This window comes from Homo sapiens, chromosome 7, assembly GCF_000001405.40.
Source record: "Homo sapiens chromosome 7, GRCh38.p14 Primary Assembly".
Classification (NCBI taxonomy): domain Eukaryota; kingdom Metazoa; phylum Chordata; class Mammalia; order Primates; family Hominidae; genus Homo; species Homo sapiens.
In genome coordinates, this window is record NC_000007.14 from 41685114 (window position 1) to 41705472 (window position 20359).

A 20359-nucleotide genomic window follows, 5' to 3' on the forward strand; every position below is an offset into this window, starting at 1 on the left:
TACATCCCAAACAGGTCTTTTTATTTAACATAAGGCCAAAGAAGCTATCAGGCGTTGCTGAATACTGTCCACTAACTGTACAAAATATTGACTGCATGCCTCGCAAACACCAAAATATCCGCTGGAATGCCATAGAAATAAATAACTTCTGCTATAAACACATGAAAACATATCAAACTGTTATCTCTTTAAACATATTGTAAATAAAAAAATTACCAGTACTTCTACACAATAAATATTAAGAAACCATTGACATAGTTGAAATGCACTCATATAAATTAACAACTTTAATTACATTAGCCAAACAGACATTGGTTAAAGAACTGCATGTAGTATGCAAAACAAAACAAAACAAAACAAAAAACAAAGTAAAAAACCAACAAAATAGAAACAAACAAACAAACAACATCAACCACAGAACATAAAAAGTTTTAAAATAAAACAGGCTTCAGATTATCTTGGCTTTCATAATTATATTTTTCTTTTAAAGAAAAATATCAACCCATTGTCAATGCACTGTTTTTCAAAGCATTTAAATAGAGGGTAAAACCCTTTGGAAATTAATACAGAAGAAATGATTCACTTTATGCATAAAAAATAAATAATAATATAGCTGAGACATGTGGTTTGCTTCTGCTCTTGAAGATGTGAACAGCTTCTAAGCATTCATTTTCTCTGACCCATACAACAGCTTCTCAGTGATACAGGGTTTAATTTAAACACATACAATGTCCACCCCCAAACCTTCTGCCCACATCTACAAGTTTTATTTATTTTGTGGGTTTTCAGGGTGACTAAGTTTTTCCCTACATTGAAAAGAGAAGTTGCCAAAAGGTGCACAGGAAATCATTTTTTTAAGTGAATATGATAATATGGGTCCGTGCTTAATACAACTGAGACATATTTGTTCTCTGTTTTTTTAGAGTCACCTCTTAAAGTCCAATCCCACAATGGTGAAAAAAAAATAGAAAGTATTTGTTCTACCTTTAAGGAGACTGCAGGGATTCTCCTTGAAAACGGAGTATGGAATCAATCTTAAATAAATATGAAATTGGTTGGTCTTCTGGGATAAGAAATTCCCAACTCAGTGTGCTGAAATTCACCTGACTTTTTTGGAAAAAATAGTCGAAAATGTCAATTTGGTCCATAAAATACATGTTACTATTAAAAGATATTTAAAGACAAATTCTTTTCAGAGCTTCTAAGATTGGTGTGGGCAGATTTTTAAGAGCCTAGAGTTTAGTCTTAGAGAAAGAGTGAGGAGATAGTAAGGTTAGATAGAGCCACTGAGTTTCAAGAAAAAAACATACTACTAAGAATCCCATATGTTATAATTTAAAGCCTTTACTTTTGGCCTCATGCTGCTAGGTGAAAGAGTGGTTGTTCACAGGACTTGTATTTTCCAAGATGATTAAAGATGGTAAAATACTATCTTTCAATGTTATCAAAAAATGGTAGCAACTTATACTTCTATTTCAAAGCCATATAAATTTAACAAAATTAAAGTTTGTGGGTGTTTGATAACCCAATCACTCAATATCCAATTAAAATATGGAATAAGTTTCAAATAAAATATGGAATTACATTTCTCTGCTTCTGATAACTGTGGTCACTAATCAACCCCCATGTTATCCCCGATATGTCTAGGACTTAGCTTAAAAAGATAGCAGATGTATTTGAGATGAGTGGGAACTATACATGGGTATCAGCTTTCTTGGTAAATTTCTGCTTTTTCCATGGCCTTGACCATCTTTGCTACTGCGCAGTGAACCAGGACTTAATTTCTCACACTGTTTCTGCAGGTTCCGGTACCAAAGAAGATGCAGTTCAAAATACTGCCAGTTTTCCAAGAAATTTTGTAAAGTTGAACATGGCCATCTACTCTTGCCTTAAAACTTTTCTCACCACACCCACCTTCCCACATGCATGATATCCAAGGTCGACAGACCTGGATTAGAATCCACTCTCAAGCTTCTCATGCAGTGCGTATTGTATTTTCTGCATAAGAAAGGGCTGCCTCTAGAACACAGTAAGTGTATTTGCCCAGTAGTGACATTGCCTACATATAGCCAAGTGTTATAGTATACCAACTTAGTATATTTTTCAAGGAGAGCTAAACCACCTTTTGTAATGTTTGGTTTCTCACTGTTATCTTCCTTTCCTATAATTAATTTATTTTAATCTACAAATTGACATAGGGCTAAAAGCTTCAATATTTTACAAAATATTAATTAATGTAATTGTTCCCAATTATTAGAAACTTTTTTCCATTTTTCAAAATGTTTGCCAACTTCACACAAGTGTGTAAAAATAGGGCTCTGGATTTTCAAAAGCACATACATGAATAATTTATTAGCTATTCCAGGCAAGCTAAGTACTAGAATAAACTAGATAAAAACTTGGCTTTAAGCATGTACTTTGATATTTATAAAACAAAGGTGTTTTTTTTTCATTTCTGCATCTGAATCAATACAAATTTACACATGAAGAATTTTGGCTGTAAATTAAAATTTTAGAGATTTTTACTACTGCCCTCACCTCTGCCTCCTCTTAACTGTTCTCTTCCTTACTCTCCCTCTCTTAACACTTTCTCTCAAATTAATTATCTTTTAGTTAGTGATGACATTATTTTTCCCAGCTGGTACAGGTAATATTTCTCACAACCAAGCCTTAATCATTTTTAAAAAATACACTCAACTCTAATTCTGGCCTAAATATTATTTTTCTGAAAAAGCTTCTGATTTAAGATTGATTCCAATAGACACTAAGTTGGAAAAACATCAGCCCAGAGTTTTGATTATCATCCTGTTTTCCCCACAGGGGATAACTTGTAGAAGTGGGAGGGGGCACAAAAAAGAGGAGGAAATTTGATCCCTGTACAATGAAAGAGGGCCTTGCTGAATATTCACTGGAATTTCCAGGCTTTTTCCCATCCGAATTTTTGAAATGCGCCCACCTAGTTCAGAGTAAAAGCAAAAACTATAGCCTATCCTTCTTAAAAATACTGTGTTTTGCACACAAACATTCATTGCTTTAAGAACATTAAAAAATGACAGCCTGAAGTGCTTAAAATGTGTATGGACATGGTACAATACATGTATATATACATACAGATATGCATATGCACAAGCAATGTATATATACACATACAAGCATGTAGTTCCATGAATTTGATTGAACTTGATATCCAACAGTGTACAACTACTGTACATCCAGTATGAAATGTCCTGTTTCATGGATGTAAAAGGAGTCAAAAACCAAACTTCTCAGGTCTTTTAAGCCTGAACACAATCCACACTACTCAACCTTGAATCCCAACCCCTGACTCATTGATGGTGAATGATACCAACCACAGACAGACTGTTTAAAGGCTCACACAAATGTCTTTGGTGTATGTGTCTATTTTTTAAGGTACAAAATAATAATAATAATTATAATTATAATAATAAAAATAGCTATTTTGTGTGCTGTAGCAGTTCTTTTATAGCTCACATTAAGTGCAGCTCTTAAACCCCACCCCCACCCCCAACCAAAGAAAATACTTGTTAAATAAGGATTAGACAGGTCAAACACCATTGTAGTGCAAATAGTAAACGATTAAAAAAAAAACAACAACAACATTTACAAAATATAGAAATGTTTGGATCCAACAGATGGACAAACATATTCCTTTCAAGTATCTCTCCTTGAAGAAAATAAAAATTAATCAGATTACTTCCAATACAAAAAAGTCTCTCTTTTTGTTCTCTCTCAGGTAAACAGTTTCAAACCTATTAGGTTGCATAGTTCTAAGATCATAAGCACCTTAACGAAATGTAACTTGGTATTCTTTTTTCCTTGATCTTTCATTCTTTCCATACTTGTTCTCAATTTTTTAATGTTGTTTGTTTTGTTTTGTTGCAAAAGTGGTACAGAAAAAGGAAGTGTGACCACCTGCACACGATTGTTCTTTTACCAGTATGTGTATATATGTAATGTGTGGAAATGCCTGTGTGTGTGTGTGTGTGTGTGTGTGTGTGTGTGTATGCTGATATACACAGAGATAAGTGTCACACAGACATACCTTATGACCTGGGTAATTGGGTAGGAAAGTGCCTGTGATGGGCCCTTTCAAACTCATGGCTTTCTAGATGCTATTTGGGTTGTTCTAGTCCACACTACTGCAGACTAGATTGGTTGATTCAAGGCTCACAAGGGAACCTCAAGGGGGGAAAGGACAATACCCCGTTTAAACAACTGATGTCATCAGTGTGATTTCAGAAGAAATAAAGGGTACACCATTCTCCCTTTCCCTCCCAATTCCTGTCTCTTTCACTGCTTCATCTCTGAGCCCTGGCTAAGGATTTTTTCCACATCTTCCTTCATCTGTTTCATCAGGTTTTGTTTTTAATTTACTTTTGTTTTTTTTTGTTTTTTTTTTTGTTTTGTTTTTAATTTCTATTTTTCTGGTTAACTCAGAAACCTTAAAAATTTCTTCATTTTGCCACTGTCTTCTCTGGACAACTCTTGCTCCCTTTCCCCCTGGGCTGGGCAACTCTATGAGCACCCACACTCCTCCACGATCATGTTCTGAATGTCCTTTTTGATGATGTTTTGACCATCATCATAGTACAACATGGACATGGGTCTCAGCTTGGTGGGCACACAGCACGATTTGAGGTTGGCAAAGGGGCTATGGCCCCGCATGCGGTAGTGGTTGATGACTGTTGAGTGGAAGGACAGTGAGGACCCGGACGTGCCTGCTATATGGCTCGGGCACTCACCCTCGCAGTAGTTGGCATGATAGCCAGAGGGAGCAATGATCCAGTCATTCCAGCCGATGTCCTTGAAACTGACAAAGAACTGTTTCTTACAGCAGATGTTGACCTTGCCATCACACTCCAAGCCCCGCCGACGCCGGCGATGAGGGTGGTCTTCAGACTGCCGGGCCTGCAGCATGAGGAAAGGTCTGTGCGACTGCTCCTTTTCCTCATCTGCTCCTGCCCCACCTTCACCTCCGCCCTTCTTTTTCCCTTCCCCCTCCTCTTCTTTCTTCTTCTTCTTGCCCAGGAGAACCAAGCTGGCGCCACTCTCCTGGCACTGCTCACAGGCAATCCGAACGTCCAGGGAGCTCTTGCCCTGGTCCAGCAACCGCTGGATGCTGCTGGAGACAGGGAAGACATGCCAGGTGCTCTTCCGAGCGTCTACTACTTTTTCAGAGAGCAACAGTTCACTCCTCTCCCCCTTTAAGCCCACTTCCTCGGCCTCTTCCCCTGTGTCCAAGCTGCCCTGCGGGTGCTTCTGCTGCTGGAAGAGGCGGATGGTGACTTTGGTCCTGGTCCTGTTGGCCTTGGGGACTTTTAGGAAGAGCCAGACTTCTGCACGCTCCACCACTGACAGGTCACTGCCTTCCTTGGAAATCTCGAAGTGCAGCGTCTTCCTGGCTGTTCCTGAAGATGAAAGACAGCATAAGAGAAAACAGGCACACCTGTTAATTCCAACATTTACATGCACTCGTAAATTTCAGGCAAGCAGGAGTCTTCTGTGACAGACCCTCTTGAATAGGGGTCAACAAATGACAGCCCATGGGCTGAAACTGTTTCTGTACTGCCTGCAAACTAAGAATGGCTTTTATACTTTTAAGTGGTTAAAGAAAAGTGATATTTTGTGACATGTGAAAATTACCTGAAATTTAAACATTAGTGCCTGTAAATAAAGTTTTGTTGGAGCATGGTTATGCTCATTTCTGTACATGCTGCCTATGGCTGTTTTTGCACTATAATAACCAAGGACTGCGTAGCTGCAACAGACTGCCTGGCTCACAAAGCCTAAATTATTTACTCTCTGGCCCTTTATAGAAAAAAGGTTTTGGACCCTTGCTTTAGAATGAAGAGGGCCTGCGAGTCTGTGTCTGTTGACTAATTGCTCAACCTCAGTTTCATCTTCTATAAAAATGGGAATGACATAAGGACATTTGACCTGTTATCTCACAGGTTTAGGAAGGTCAAATGAGATAACATAAACAAAAAGACACTGTAAGCTCTAGAAAGCTAAGGAAATACTATTCTCAGACAAAAATGCAGCCCCTGGCCCCACCTCGCTGTGTAAGTCTGTGCAGTCGAGACACACTTGAGCCAGCCTCTTCTTCCCTTGTCACAGCCTGATTCCTCCGCCATCACCTCTTTGCTGGGTCACTGCAGCAGCATTTTCTTTACTTTGCCTCTGCAACACTAAGGAAGGCCTCCTCTCCAGTCATTTCTCCATGAAGCAGCTAAAGGCATCTTTCCCACAGGTGGATCTGATCACATCACTTCTTCTTGAAAGTCCTTTACTGAATTCCTATTGCTCAGTATCCAACAGAAAGTGGCTGGGACTTTGGGCTCTGTACATGCTGTTCCTCCCTTGAATGTCAGCTCTTGCCCAGTCCTGTTCTCTGGGGTCTAAGGCCTTGAGAATTCCACCCCCTTTCTCAACTGCAGGCAGTGACACCTGCTGTTCCTTCTGCCTTAAGTGCTCCTGCCCCAACTCCAACATACCACCCTTAGTGCTGCCTTTAATAATGTTTCAATTTTCAGATTGTTTGGATGACAGTTCCTCTAGGAGGCTTACCTCACATCACCTCCACCACCACCCTCCTGCCAGCCTGGTTTAGAATGCCCGGGGTCTAAGGTCACTATCATAGTCTAGTGTTTAGCAGAAAGTAGCCAATGACTTGATTACTTATTAACAAATAGAGGCGTCCTTAGCATTGAGTTCTATTAAATTAAGAGAGCCACCTAGTACCTCTGAATCCCCCATTTTTGCCTCTGACCCATTACAGGGCAGATTAATGGGCACCAGAAACATATGTCAAATAGCAATCGCTGCTAATGGACAGGAAATCCCCACATTGTCAGGGCAGTTGAATTTAGCAACCACTCAGTTCCAGCCTAACTCTAAAATTAGAAAGTCACCTATTTCCTTCTCTTTTCCTAAGCAACTGTATGTTTAATGACACAGCAACAATTACTATGAAAGCAGGTATCCAAACTAAAATTTTTTGATTAATCAAATATTTTCCCTCACTTCCATTTTTCCCACTTGGTGGCATATAGAAACATATCCTCTTTTCCATGACCGTGGACCTCCTTACAACTGTCTGCTGTACATGTATCCCATGCACAAATCTGGGAACAATCTTCAAGAAGTTCATCTTAGAACTTGCAACTCCCTGGGAGGATCTCCCTGCCTGGATTTCTATAGTTAACGGAAATCCAGCCATACTTATCACTCGAGGCCCTGAGATGTTTACGGTACTATAAATTTTAGGCACAGTTTCAAGTTCTCTGCAGCAGAAGGCAGGCTTTTCTGTGCATTGCGTACTGTGGATTCTGTTCTTAATTTAACACACTCTGCACACTGTGATTATGATAGTGGTAAATTCACTGAGGCAAGGGCCAAGCAGGGCTGCAGATGGATAGGAAAGGTTCTCTGGCATCTTTCTATAAACTTACGAGGATGCTGGCCATGATGATGGTGGCGGTGGTAAGGGGAGTTCCTCTGACTCCGACCTCATGTCTTTGGCAGGAGTTGAAATGAATAATAAAGCTGGGTTTATGATTAGATAGAATACCAGAGCAGAGAGAGCAGTTAGAGGGAGAAGCTGTCTTATTTTAGGAAGCATGATGACTTATTTTTTCAAAATCTGAATTCGATATTCCCCTTTGCTAAGAATTGGTGTGGGTTTTGTTGTTGTTGTTTGTTTCTTAACAAAATAAAAGAGAAGAAGATTCCCATAAGCAGAGCTTAATCATTTAAATCTAAAAAGGCAATCAGCAGTTGATTTTAGGGTGGCAGGGTCCTGCCAAGGCCTTAGGAGAAGGCCGAGGGAAACCTCCCAAGCCTTGGATAACTAGCCTGGAGGGTGTGCAGGTTTCCTCCAGCTTGGGCACATCTGCCTTGCCCCATAGAGAATGTTAACAAGATACCTGCTGTTTTCCCTTCTGCCTCTATGCAGGACAGCTTCTGAAATCCTAAACTGCACAGGGTGTCACTCCAAAAACAGACAGATAGTAGCTGCTAAATTAGAGAACCCAGAGGGCACAAGGTTGGGTTTTGTTTTTCTAGGAAAGAGTGTAAAACTGGAGTGTCTGACTAGTGCCCCGGATAGGGAGGCTTAATAGGTTTGGGGTAACTCATCCCCATGAGCTCTGCTCTACTCTCATCCACACCTGCCAGAAGGGGTCAGGGTGAAGCCGATGGACAGCAGTGCTGACCCGCATGCAGTGGACTTTCCATGAATAACACCCAAGGCTGACTACAGATGTTTAGGTGGGGGTGCCGAGGGAGGGTTACTTGGCTGACTAGAATTAGGGACAGCCGTGTGCAAATTGCTTTTTTAGGGCCAGAGAGGCTGAGGCTGCTGGCTTCCAGTCACACAGCCTACAGGACAGCCCCTGATTTCACAAGAGCAGGTTTCTGATGCATGATCTAGCCCCACCCCTTCTTCACAGGCAGCTGTACTTGGAAGCAAATGATTTAGTGTTCCTGAGAGAGGATTGTACAAAGAGAGTACTCATTAGAGGGGGCTCAATCTGTCAGGTGCTGTTATATTAGGATCAGAGAGTCATCATAAAATGACTTTCATGCTGGTCTTGGCTGATAATTAACTGCATGGCATCGCCTGCGTATTGTAGAGAGGCAAGGGTGCTGATTTATGCATCCGTTTAATTATCTGAATTGAAAGACTCTGTTCCCTGTATTTGCATCCACTGCCTGCGTGCTTTCTCTCTCCCCCATATTTCTGACATTTGGATTTTCCCCCTACTAATTGACATGCCTGTCGCCTCCTTCTCCTGGTGTCCATTTCTGGAACTGCTATTTGTATATTGCATGATATTTTATCAGGAAAAAATATAAAACAGATCTAATTTCATGAAAATGCTGTTGCCATAATGCTCAGGAGAACAGGGGGAAGAGAGAGATTCAAGTCTTCCTAATGTCTACCTTATATGCAGGTACATTTTACAAGTTCTATTGTATTCTGACTTATTAAGCAGTGCATATTTCTTTCTTTTACATTAGCTTTCATTGCAGAAGGGTGTGGGGAGATGAGACTGCTGGAAACTGACGTGGGATTGATGTTTATCAGGGCTGTAGGCTTCAGAAATATATTAAGCCTCGGAATGTCCTAGGTATGAAAAAGATAATAAATAACAGGTCAATTTATTATATTCCCTTTATCTCTATATTACCTGAGAGAGATTGCTATACTGCAGTGACACTTTCAAGATGCCCCAATCCTCCAATCTCCATGCATAACAATTTGAAAAAGGGAAGGTTGACTAAGGCTGGGATGTTCAGGATCAATTTCTAATCAGTTTCAGGTTTTACTCAAATATCTCATGCTGTAAACTCTTGAAATGAATGTCTTCCCATAGTGCGCCGTGAGCAGGTTCTGCATTAGTTTGTACAGGTGCGACCTAGGTTCCTGCACTATTACCTAGCTAACCAGATATAGCTGGTTGCTTTGCGAACCTTTCATTACCTGCTCTCTAATAATATTCTTTTCATCCTCTGTGCTATTTTTTCCCTCCCGAGGCTTGTGAGCAAGGCTGTATCACAGCCTGCTCTGCCTGAGTAATTCACTAAGAAAGTCCCACGCAAACCCATGTGGGTGATAATATTTCATCACTTAAACCTCTATGAGCTTGGTGGACACATACCAAAGAGAGAGAAAAAGAGGTGCAGAAAAATGGGCAAAGAGAAATTTTGTACCTCACAGGGAATACCTCTGAAATGCTGCTGGGTGGGAAGGATTGGACAGAGGAGAGACTGTGTAAGCTGGAAGGAAAGATAGCTGGAAGGGTGTTTGCAGCACATTTTCCTTTGCTTTCAGAATTTTAAAAATGTTTTGAATAAGTCAATCATGAAGGCATGGCAAGGGTTAAGCAACTAAGCCCCTTGTTGTTCCCTCCCCCTACACTAAGATGCAAAATGCTGGACTCATCCAAAAGTCCAGCATCTCAGATTTGTGGGTCTATGAACATTTTCAGTTAAATAAGCAACACACACATGCAGTGTTTCGATTTGGTTTTGTTTTCCTCACCAGGGTCCTGCTTAAAATATGTTGCTCTTTTACATATGGGCAATAGTTATGTCTCTAATGTGAATGTGGAAAGCCTCGTTGTTTATAGAACACATTTAAACTTACCATGGGATGGGGGCTGGGGGAAGCCTCCCTGTAAAAAGCGTCTGTTCCTTTAATTTTCCATTCTTCATCAAGATTTCACTGTGCCTAGATATGGTATAGTCAATGGTAAGGGTATACACAACTACCATTTACAGGGTGCATTCTCTGAAGCCCTAACTTTGCATTTGGACTGCTTCCAGGGGTTTCTGCAGAAAGCAGCAAGTGAGGTCTTAAGGTTATTCCTCCTTTGACCTACAGTAGAGGATCTTTCCTGCAGTAGAACTATAGGTTTGGCCATAAATTATCTTGATTAATTTTTTAGCTTTAATTTCCCTCCTTAGGGTCCATTATTGATTTATAAATGCCCTGGCACAAACGTCCATCATCCATGCCTCTTCCATTAAAGTGGTGATGAAAAAGGTTAAATATTTTGGGAGAAAGGGGTTTTAGGTTCCTACAAGTAGCAAAAATTCTTAAGGTTTAACCCACAAAATTTCAGAGACTTCTTCCAAAGTTCCTGAGAACTTTGGCACTTCTCATTTTGGACTTAGGAACCAGTCGAGTACGAAGAATTCAGAACTACAGCTAGGAGATCACGTGCAAGTATTTTTTAGCAGAAGAGGGGCCAAGACAAATATGTGTTTTCAAGAAAAGTGCCTGGGAAGGTATTACTGCAGTTCTTTAAATATTACAACGGACTTTCCACCCTGGCATCTCCACCACCCCCAGCCCAGTCCATCCACTGCACAGGCCGCAGACCACTATTAATCTCTTTTCCCATCTTTCCCACCATTTCTCTCCACACCCTCAGTTCGGAAACAAACGCATCCTCAGAAGCCGAACACCATGTTCCCACAAGGCATTACAGAAAGAACCTTTTTCCTCCCTGTTTGAAGTCACTTGTCATTTGTCGCTGGTGGAAACTGTTGATAAGGCAGGAAAACTAGGCAACAAAATCAGGGGAGATGGAAGATGTTTTTGTTACGACCCGGGAGACCGTATTAGGGAGAGACTTGTGAGCAAATCAGTATCGCTGATGATTCATAGTCACATTTCTCCCTGCTCCGCTTTGTTTGCTTTTGAAATTTATCACTCGTCTGCCTTCCATAGAGCTCCGGAATGTTCACATGTATCACTAGAATTTCCATTTCCTTTCCTTCTGTCTCATTTAATGTATTACAGGTAGTCATGCTTCTCCCATCTCATAAATTCCTAACTTTTTCTGCAGGATGAGAGGGAGCAGGCGGTAACTGATAATCACCAAGATTAGGGCGCTACAGACAGGGGCTTCCAGTACGCGCAACTGCCTTTCCCTGGATACACTGACAAGGAGCAAAAGTCTTTGGAACGCGCCCTCTTGTGGCCGCTCTTCCCCATTATTCACGGAAGAGAGCGTGTAACCCCTAAAGGCATCCCTAAAGGAGGGGTGATTCACAGAAAAGTTCGGAAGGTGGGATTGGAATGGTGGGAGTCAGCTTCATTTTGAGATGGCTTTCTTGGGGTGGGGAAAATGGTCATCCAAGCAAAGCTTCTTGGATCCCTGTCTGGGCAGTGCAAACTTCTAACTCAAATCTTCCATACATAGTATCCTCCAAGGGGTAGACTTATGTGTTGCGCTTAACAACACCTAGGCTACGTGAGCACATCCATTTCTTGGTGTGTCATTTGTCTTTCTTTCCCTATTCTTTCTACAACAAGTGCTATCAATTGCTAAGCTAATTACCAGAACCCACATCCAGGTTTGACAGCATATGGAGACTTAGAGGTACATTATTATTATGCATTGATTGACCACCTACTGTCATGAGTCAAAATAAAATAAAAATAAGCTGCATCAGCTGAAAAGGCCACTGAATTTAGCTTCATGACATTTATAGTGATAGCTTGGCTTTACCCATCCCTTCTATCTTTCCTTGTGAAGAACTCTGTAGGCCTTAAGGTAAAACATTGAGGGTTTTGTGCCAGCCATGCAAAGAACACACTAACCTTGGTGAGAAATCTTGGGTGATGTGACATATATAAAAATAAAATAATTTTTGTTTGTTGGGATACATTTCAGAGAGCCTTAGAGTGATTCCCTGCTGTTTAGTCAATAACAACTCGCATCAACTTTACAAAAATTGAGCACTTTCTACCTAAACAGGATGGGACAAACTCAGTTAAAAGAGTCCTCAGCACTTCAGCTTTTGGAGGCTCTCTACTTCTGTAGCCAGGCCTTGGCTTTATCCAACAATCAAGGAGAGAAAAGGCAAAAATTAAACGTAGCCTCAAATTGAAGAATCTTGAGGTTGAAAGGGGCTGCTATGGGTCTGCATCTGTGGCATGCTCATGGGTGACAATGTCTGGATTCTATGCTGCACAAAATGGTTATAAGGGAAAGAAAAATGCATTCCTTTTTCTATTCTCCAAAAACTCTTGACATTCCACATAGTTGGAATGTTATTAAAGTTGAATTATTCCAAAAGCAACAAGACATAGGTCTTTTCTATTCATGTTCATATATTTGCTACAATCATTTGGATGATAAATGTCTTTTCTGGACTAGCAAAATCAGCAGCAAAATGCTCACGTGGTTTTCTGCTTGAAGAGTAGACAGTCCATACAGCAATCATTAAATACATGAAATTACATTAAATCAACTTGAAGTTGATGTGTGAAATCCCTCAGAGAAAAATAAGCAATTGTAATAAGTGTTTTCTAAGAATCCAAAGTCAAGTTGTAAAGTCAACCAGGAGTTTCCCATTACAAATCTTAAACTTGACTCAATGTGAACGTCCAACGAATCGCTTTTTCAAAAGTCGCTCATTTTTTTTCAAACTAAACACCTAACTGAGAAGTAAAAAAATGACAAGATCTCATACAACTGAGAGAAGACTGTCACAGAAAGGAAGACCACACATAAGAAAGAATGTAAATGGTCAAATTTTTTCACTGCCAAATCTCTAAATGCTAAGAGAGTGATTTGCTATACAAGTCCAGTAAGTCAGAAAGAGGGGCATATTGCTAGTAACGGTAGTGCGGTTAAAAGTGGTCAAAGGCATAGGTATACTTAGTCATATGACATGGTTAAAGGCAACTGGATACGAGCTGTCATTGAATCCATCATGTGTGGAGGTTGGTATACAAAGACAGGAAGCAACCCTCTAGACCACTGAAATCTGTTTCACATGCACAGCCAAATATTGTAAATATTTTCTTTTTTACCTTTTCCCACCATGAAAAGTTGAGAAAAAAAAATGGGTGTCAACTTGAAAAGTTCCAACCTAGCTTTCTTCCTCAAAAAGCTCCAGAAGATAAAGTCCTAATGATCATGCCTTTTGGGGCTGGGTTAAGAAAGAGCTTTAGGGAAAGAAAGTAGGATCTTCCCTAAGTGAGAGAGGCTTCTGGTGAGAGAGCCAAACTGGGAAGCTTGTAGGACACCAGGGCTTCTCCTGCAAGGGGAAGCCACACAGCCAGCAGGCTATCTGCACCCCCGGAAAGATGCCCTGGTCTTTCATGGTTTTCTTGAAAACAGAACATCTGAGTCAACAGGTTTTCAGATTGGAAATTCTGAGTGTTGCCTTAATTGTTTATACTGCTGCGGCAAACTTTTAAACAAAAATGCTGGGAGTCCCTGCACATACTTTACTGGCCATATGCTCTACCAAACAAAACAATGGCATTCCTTTCAAATGGAGTTGGCAAAGGATGCAATTCTTTAGCCTGGCATTACCATGAAAGTAACACGGTATTAACACATCTGTGTGCCTGACGTGCATGGGCTTGCAGGCATGCAAAGGATCTGTGTCACTTAACTATAAAAATAGCCTGGCTCCAAGTCCATGGGCCCATACTTTTGACAGGTATTGCTATTCAGCAACAGGTTAGTGTGGTCCTGGGCCAACGATTAGAATCTATTTATTAAAGTTCTTCCTCTTAAGGATTGAGTGAGTTCAGCGTAGTATCTGAGAGTACTTTGTCAAGGTTGCGTTCCTTGGCAGAGAGCTCTTAGTAACTTTAGAAAGAACAAAACTGGTTGTTTTATTTATTTTTTTTTCTTTCAGAGAGCAAAAGTCAGTGTCCCAAAAGTAACTGCTGGTTCAATGACAACTGTCCCCCAAAGTAGCTCTTCCCTGTCTTGAATGTGGTGCCTGTGCACTTATAGACATTTTCTAAAGGTAAAAATGACTGTCACTCATAAATATGCCCTGCTTCTCCAATGTGGCCCCAGATTGGACTTTTAAAGGGGAAGGTTTGTTTTAAGAGAGTGACTTCATCTGTGCCATTCCACTCCAATCCTGGTACATTCACCCCTCTACCCTCAATAAAAACTTGGATGGGGTCCGGAAGCCTCCTCTGCTCCCCTAGCACCCGAAAATGCCGCGGCTTTCCTCCGGCTGCTCAGATCTGGTTTCACAGGCAGGGCAAGGCAGCCCCTCACAGTCTGCCTTCCAGCTCAACATTGGCCCCGAGCTTCCTCTCTGTGTGACCCGCTGGGTTTAGTAAGTGTAAGCCAGTCATCTCCAGGCAGAGCTCGACCGAGAATTCCTTTTCTGTAAAGTCCTCTCCCCCTCCCCTGCCTGCCCTCCGTCGGCTAGTCCGCTACCATCACCTAATAACTAATAACCTTCCCAGGCAGTTTCCAGCTGAAGGGAAAAGAAGTTCCTCCTGGGACTGTCAAAGAAATATATTTTACCCTCCCACCCCCCACCCCTCCCCACCCCCTGCCAATGCCAGCACCAACCTGACTCGGCAAACGTGATGATCTCCGAGGTCTGCTCCATAAGTTCATTCATTTCTGCCCTCCTTCCAATGTCATCCTCTATCTCCACATACCCGTTCTCCCCGACTTTGCCCACATGAAGCTTTCTGATCGCGTTCAGAAGCGCCGCCTTGGGTACCGGCTGGGTGACATCGGGTCTCTTCTTCAAGTGCAGCATGTTTAAAATGTGCTTCTTGACGGCCTCCACCATCTCTGGCTGAGAGTTGGGTACATCCTTTGGGAGGGCGGCCAGCGCACAGGACGGACAGTCGGGGGCCGCGCTGTGCCCCTCGGATCCTGGGGTGGGGGAACTCCTCACTATAATCCAGCAACTTGCCAACAGAAATCCTCTCAGCCAAAGCAAGGGCATCCTGGCAGCAAAAGTTGTTGTGATTGCCTTTTTAAAAGGCCCTGCTTTTCCTCCCCCCTCACGCGCAGGTTTTTTTGTGTGTGTGGATTTTTTTATTTTTTTTTTTGGTGTTTTTTTTTTCCTTCTCCTCTTCAGCAAATTCTCTGGAACAAGAACAAAAAGTTTTCTGTGAAGTTTTGTTTGCAGGTTCCTCTCTGAATGCAGTCAGTGCTGTAGGTTTGTGGCTGTCAGGGAGGAGAGTTCTGACTGTCTCCGAGTAAGAGAGAAGGAAGGAGGGAGGGAGGGAGGGAGACAGGGAGGGAGGGAGAGACAGGGTGGCGGGGAGACAGACAGAGACAGAGAGAGAGGATGGGAGGGAGACAGAGACAGAGAGAGAGGAGAGAGGGGGAGAGAAGAGAGAGGGAAAGAAGGGGGAGAGAGAGGGAGAGAGGGAGGGAAGGGAGGGGGAGAGGGAGAGAGGGAAAGGAAGAGAGAGAGAGAGAGAGAGAGAGAGAGAGAGAGAGAAAGGATTGGCCCTAAGTAAGTGAGTGAATGGAGAGGGAGGGAGTTTGCTGTGAGTAGGGCTGTGATTAGGGAGGGAGGGACAGCCCGTTTTCTGACAGGCTGCTCTCCTTCTGCTCTTAGCTTCCTCACAGACACCTCTCTTCAAATATCACCATTTTCGGGGGTTCTACTTTCTCTTCTAAAATAAATTATCCTAATTTTGTTCACTATTTTTTTTTCTTTCTCTGCCCAGTCTCCTGGTTTCACCTTCTTCCTTTTTTGGAGGGGAGAAAAGAAACCCCAAACAAACACAGTGTCTCAATCAATAGGGATGAATTGATTGAAAAAGTGTTCCCACCGCCCCTCCACCCAGCCAAGCCACAGCCCTAGGTGGTAGAACGCCCACCTGGCCACGTGGTGGGGCAGAGGGTGCAGGGAGGTCCAGTGGACAGGTAGTGGAGGTCAGGGAAGAGGGACTCAGGGGTAACAGAGGATTGTTCTGGCCTGATGGGATCCAGGGGAGATGGTCCTTTCCCCCAATTCATTCATATTTAAATGTTCAGGTCATCAACACTGGCAGGCAATCTGAGGAGAGCGCAATGGAACTTTTGTTTGGGGTCATATAATACACTCCACTCTTCCCAACTGTGAAATGCAGCAGGGCACTGAAGGACCAGAGGGCAGGCAGCCTGTCACAAGCCCAAGTTCCAGAAGCGCTTTCTCCCCGTCGCGTTCAGCTGCCCCCTTCTGCCGGGGACCCACTCACTCTCACACATTACAGCCTACCACCACTCGCCGGACTTCACAGATAAAATGCAAAATTCTCTTGGCCTTTCCCACATCCTTTTATAAAAAGAGTGCACTCGTATGACTTGAATAACTGGTCCTATGGGAAAAGACTCTCTAAAATATATTGGCAAATTATTTTTCTCTGTCATGTGGTAGTTTTTTCAGCTTGCCCCAAGCCTGTCCCGACCAGTGCATTCATAGACAGCCTCCTTGACTGCTTCTTTTTCCCTCAAAGGAACAGTGCAGATGAAATCATCATGGATTTTAGTGTGCACAGAAAAAGAAAAATGTGAATTTTTTAACAATGCCTTTCTAAGGCTTAAAAAAAATTCTTCCCCCTCCCCTCTTTTTCATTTTCTGTCTTATTGCTTTTATCTTGCAGAAGAATCTTTAAGGGGTCCATCTGTTAAAGCGTTCCTTCCCTCTCGGTTTCTTTCCCACACATAAGCCCTCTTGGTTTCTGAAGATACACTCAGCTTATATCTGACACCTAGTGTGTTCATAGCATTACAGTCAAGCAATGCAGTTTAGGTGGAAAGAGTTAATAAATATCATTACTACAAGATAAGATCTGAGTGCAAGGGGAAGAGGGCAAGAAAATTGTGACACTAAGTTATAATTACAGTTTGCACAGGTTAACAATGCTTTCTGAATTATATATACTGTCCCCTTTTCCAAAACAACTATTTGTAAGACTTTTTCTGTTACAAGTAACCTAACACCTTTGGGGTTTCAGCTCCAGAAACATCAATTACTCCACCATTATTGTTAAAACTTTGTCAACATTGCCTAAAAAGCCTCATATTTTTTACGGGGATGGTGAAAGAGAATGGGGGAGGCAGGGGACATTTGTGTTACAATGGTTTTATAAAAAATCTTTGTGCTATAATACTTAACATCATCCACCTATTTGGAGTCACATATACAGTACCCAAAATGTTTTGCAGTTCAATTAAGTTTTACAAGAAAGTCTGAAATACAACCAAAAGTTTAATGGCTCTAAACAACTCAGGAGTCCTAATAGCAGCATTTAGATAAGTGCAACTTATCAATATTTGGATTCTCTCTGCATCTGAGTATGTGTGTGTTCCCTGAATTTACTGTTTGCGAATGTAACTCTTAAAAATAGCTTTCTCTTTGGCATATGTACTTGTATATATGTGCTGAGTGGCTTGTATAAACATATAATCTATTTGCATGCTCTAGGACTATTAAAAGCTGTATTAACCTGCCTGAATAATATAAAAAGGTACACATCACAATGCACATTGGAAATGCCAATTAGTTGTAAAATTCCTCCTAGCTTTCCTATCTTTGAATGTGTAAAGAGCTCAGAAGTAAGAGTTAAAAAGCATTACCTTTCTGGTCCCCACTCTTCCACCAGCCGGCTCTTGTATCATGTGGTAAGAGCTGTCTGAGCTCCTCTTCATGGTATTGGCACTGTGAAGTTTTATACTGTACTACTTATTTGTACACCACACATTGGTACCACTGAAACAGAGGAGGGCTGGGGCTTTGTTTGGGATTGGTTGGAATCAGCATGACATCAGCGGATGACTGGTTTTTCCAGTGTGAGACATTTCATAATTCATTATCTAATGGAAAGCCCTTCCTGGCTTCTGAGACACTACTGGGTGATGCACTGAGCCAGTGAAACCTCTGGCTAGGATTACTCTACCTTTTAGAAAAACATTGGAATCAAATAGATATGTCTCAATGAGTGTGTCCAACTTTCAACTTTTACTACTCGCACACACGTCTCGTTATATTCAGGTTCAGTTTTATGTCTTTACATAAAACATCTGTTACTTCATGAAGTTGCTTCTATTTACAAAGTATTTTATTGTTTCTTTCAGGAAAGAAAATTGGTAGTGTTCTTTATAGGGATTCTAATTTTATATTTTTAAAATAAGCTATTTCATTGAGGAAAAAAATTGGGAAAATCTGTATAATCATATGATGATGGTCTCCCCCGACCCCAACCAACTTACACTATTATTTTACATCTTGAAATTGAATGCCTGCTTCATAAATCAAGAACTTTGGAAATAGTAATTCTCTTTAAATGAACTTCATAAGTATCCTTCCCAGGTCTTTAGAATCTCATTCTAACTAACCAAACACACACACACACACACACACACACAACAACAACAACAACAAAAACCCTCATGCATCATTCTTTTTTACCAGAACTTCAACTCCTATAATTTCTAAATTGTTACAAATATAACAGCAGATTAATGAAAAGAAGTGAACACTCCTTGAAATAGGGGTAAAGCTGGTCAGGCTTTTTTTGTGGGGGAGGGGTGTTGGCAAGTCTGGTAAATAACACAGGAGGAAGGGGTCCTCTGACAAGAACGGTGAAGGGTTGTTTGAAGGACTACAGTTGAAGCATAAGCCCAGTTCTCATGACAAGTTGGATAAAATGTGCAAAATTGGGAGCTAATGAGAGCCATATGACCAGATATGTTGTTTTGTATGCAGGATTTAACATGCATAAAATAAACTTTTCACTGTGCCCACAAGCAAAATATAGAGGCTCTGGCCTCCTGATGTGTGGCTTAAGCAGGTTCCATTAGGACACCAGAAGTTTTCTGTGTAAAAGGGTCTCTCTTGGCTAGATACAGAGAAAGTGTGGGTGCTGAGCTGCATGGGGGTGGGGGGAAGGAGTATTCTAAGAACTGCATATGCAGAAATGAAGTAGGAAAAAAATCATTAGGTTGTAGAGGAAGAGAGTGAATCTGAGTGGCGAAGACAGAAATAGGATTAATGATGGTGAACTCCAAACCTGCCCCTCAGCTTAGCACTGGGTGAACTCAAACCCTTTATAAGAAAGAAACTTCTCCACCCTTTTTGCTGAGAATTAGTGGAGTCAATGACCTTCAGGGCATCTAAACTCACCCCTGACCCACACATGAACCCTAGTGTCCTGAAAACATCCCCTCCGCCTCCACACAAAGTAGTGTGTGTGTGTGTGTGTGTGTGTGTGTGTGTGTGTGTGTGTGTGTAGGTGACGTGGGGTGGGGGTGGGGGGCACAAAACAAACCCAGATCAGATCCCAGTTCCTCTGCTCACTCACCGTGTAAACTCAGGCCTCAGTGTTCCCATCTATAAAATGGGATCCATGATATGAACCTGTGGGGGTCAAGTGCAGCTGTCAGATAATAATAAGTGATACTATTTCTGAGAAGCCTGGTGGCTGTTCTTAAACATGGGTGTCACAGGAATCTGCAGCTCTCTGACCAGAGGAGCCACAACACAAGTGTGACTCTGAAACTCCGCTGGCCATCTGATGCCACCGAGTGCCCACCTGCCAGGCCAGCCTACCAGCCGTGCTGCAACCCCTCTGCAACCACCTGCACCACAGTGGCAATGCCTCCTCCCTCGGTGCAAATCAAGGTGGGGGTGGTGGAGGAAGCAGGCAGGTTAAAATAGCTTCTGTGGAATATTCTAGACTGGGAATCAGCTTTTCCCTGCGGAACTCAAGGGCCCGGGGCACAAGCTGGTCAGCCCAGTCCTGACCAGAATCTCCTTCTCCTTCCTTGGTTTGGTTTCTCTTTCACTTCCCCCTCCCCCGGAGCTTCCCCGCACCCCAGGCCCTTCGGGTCCCGGCTTCTCGGCCCTGCTACTGTACCTTGAGCAGCACCTGCTGGCAGCTTCCAGGGATCACGCCGGAACGCGGCCGCTGCTCGAGCCCAGCTCGCAGGATGCCTGGAGCCAGGGCCAAGCCGGTCTAAGCGGCAGCCTCTATTTTTACCCTGAGCACCAGCAAGGGCAACTTCTTTTAAGAGCAGCTCTTGATTTTTTCCCCCCTTTTGGCAGC

General features: G+C 42.2%; 1 protein-coding gene and 1 long non-coding RNA gene across 5 annotated transcripts in view, besides 1 other annotated feature; one reads left to right on the forward strand and one right to left on the reverse strand.

The window, feature by feature from the left end:
- Positions 1-20293, reverse strand: INHBA (inhibin subunit beta A). 3 transcript variants are annotated; one of them, XM_047420335.1, is made up of 4 exons: positions 20171-20293; positions 19616-19671; positions 14874-15404; positions 1-5429 (listed from the first exon to the last, which is right to left on the reverse strand). In XM_047420335.1, exons 3-4 carry the CDS (start codon positions 15259-15261, stop codon positions 4537-4539), a joined length of 1281 nt encoding a protein of 426 aa, XP_047276291.1. In that variant the 5' UTR covers positions 15262-15404; positions 19616-19671; positions 20171-20293; the 3' UTR covers positions 1-4536. The 3 variants fall into 3 exon arrangements, with proteins under 3 accessions (XP_047276291.1, XP_016867663.2, NP_002183.1); XM_017012174.2 differs by lacking the exon at positions 19616-19671; NM_002192.4 differs by lacking the exons at positions 19616-19671; positions 20171-20293 and adding an exon at positions 17892-17977.
- The window catches only part of INHBA-AS1 (INHBA antisense RNA 1), an 85460-nt gene continuing 73906 nt past the window's right edge, over positions 8806-20359 (forward strand). For both annotated transcript variants that reach the window (NR_027118.2, NR_027119.2), the window contains exon 1: positions 8806-8975. This is a non-coding gene — a long non-coding RNA (INHBA antisense RNA 1). The remainder of the gene's footprint in view (positions 8976-20359) is intronic.
- Positions 20018-20107: an enhancer, noted in NCBI's record as "active region_25899". NCBI's record gives its function as "activates an Ori minimal core promoter by ATAC-STARR-seq in GM12878 lymphoblastoid cells {active_cell/tissue: GM12878}" and the evidence as "EXISTENCE:reporter gene assay evidence [ECO:0000049][PMID:35858748]".

Excerpts from the sequence above, each read along its gene's own strand:
- INHBA (XM_017012174.2), bottom strand. The coding sequence starts at position 15,261 with ATGCCCTTGCTTTGGCTGAGAGGATTTCTGTTGGCAAGTTGCTGGATT. Across the intron at positions 5,430-14,873 it reads CATCACGTTTGCCGAGTCAG|GAACAGCCAGGAAGACGCTG; the intron begins GTTGGTGCTGGC and ends TTTCATCTTCAG.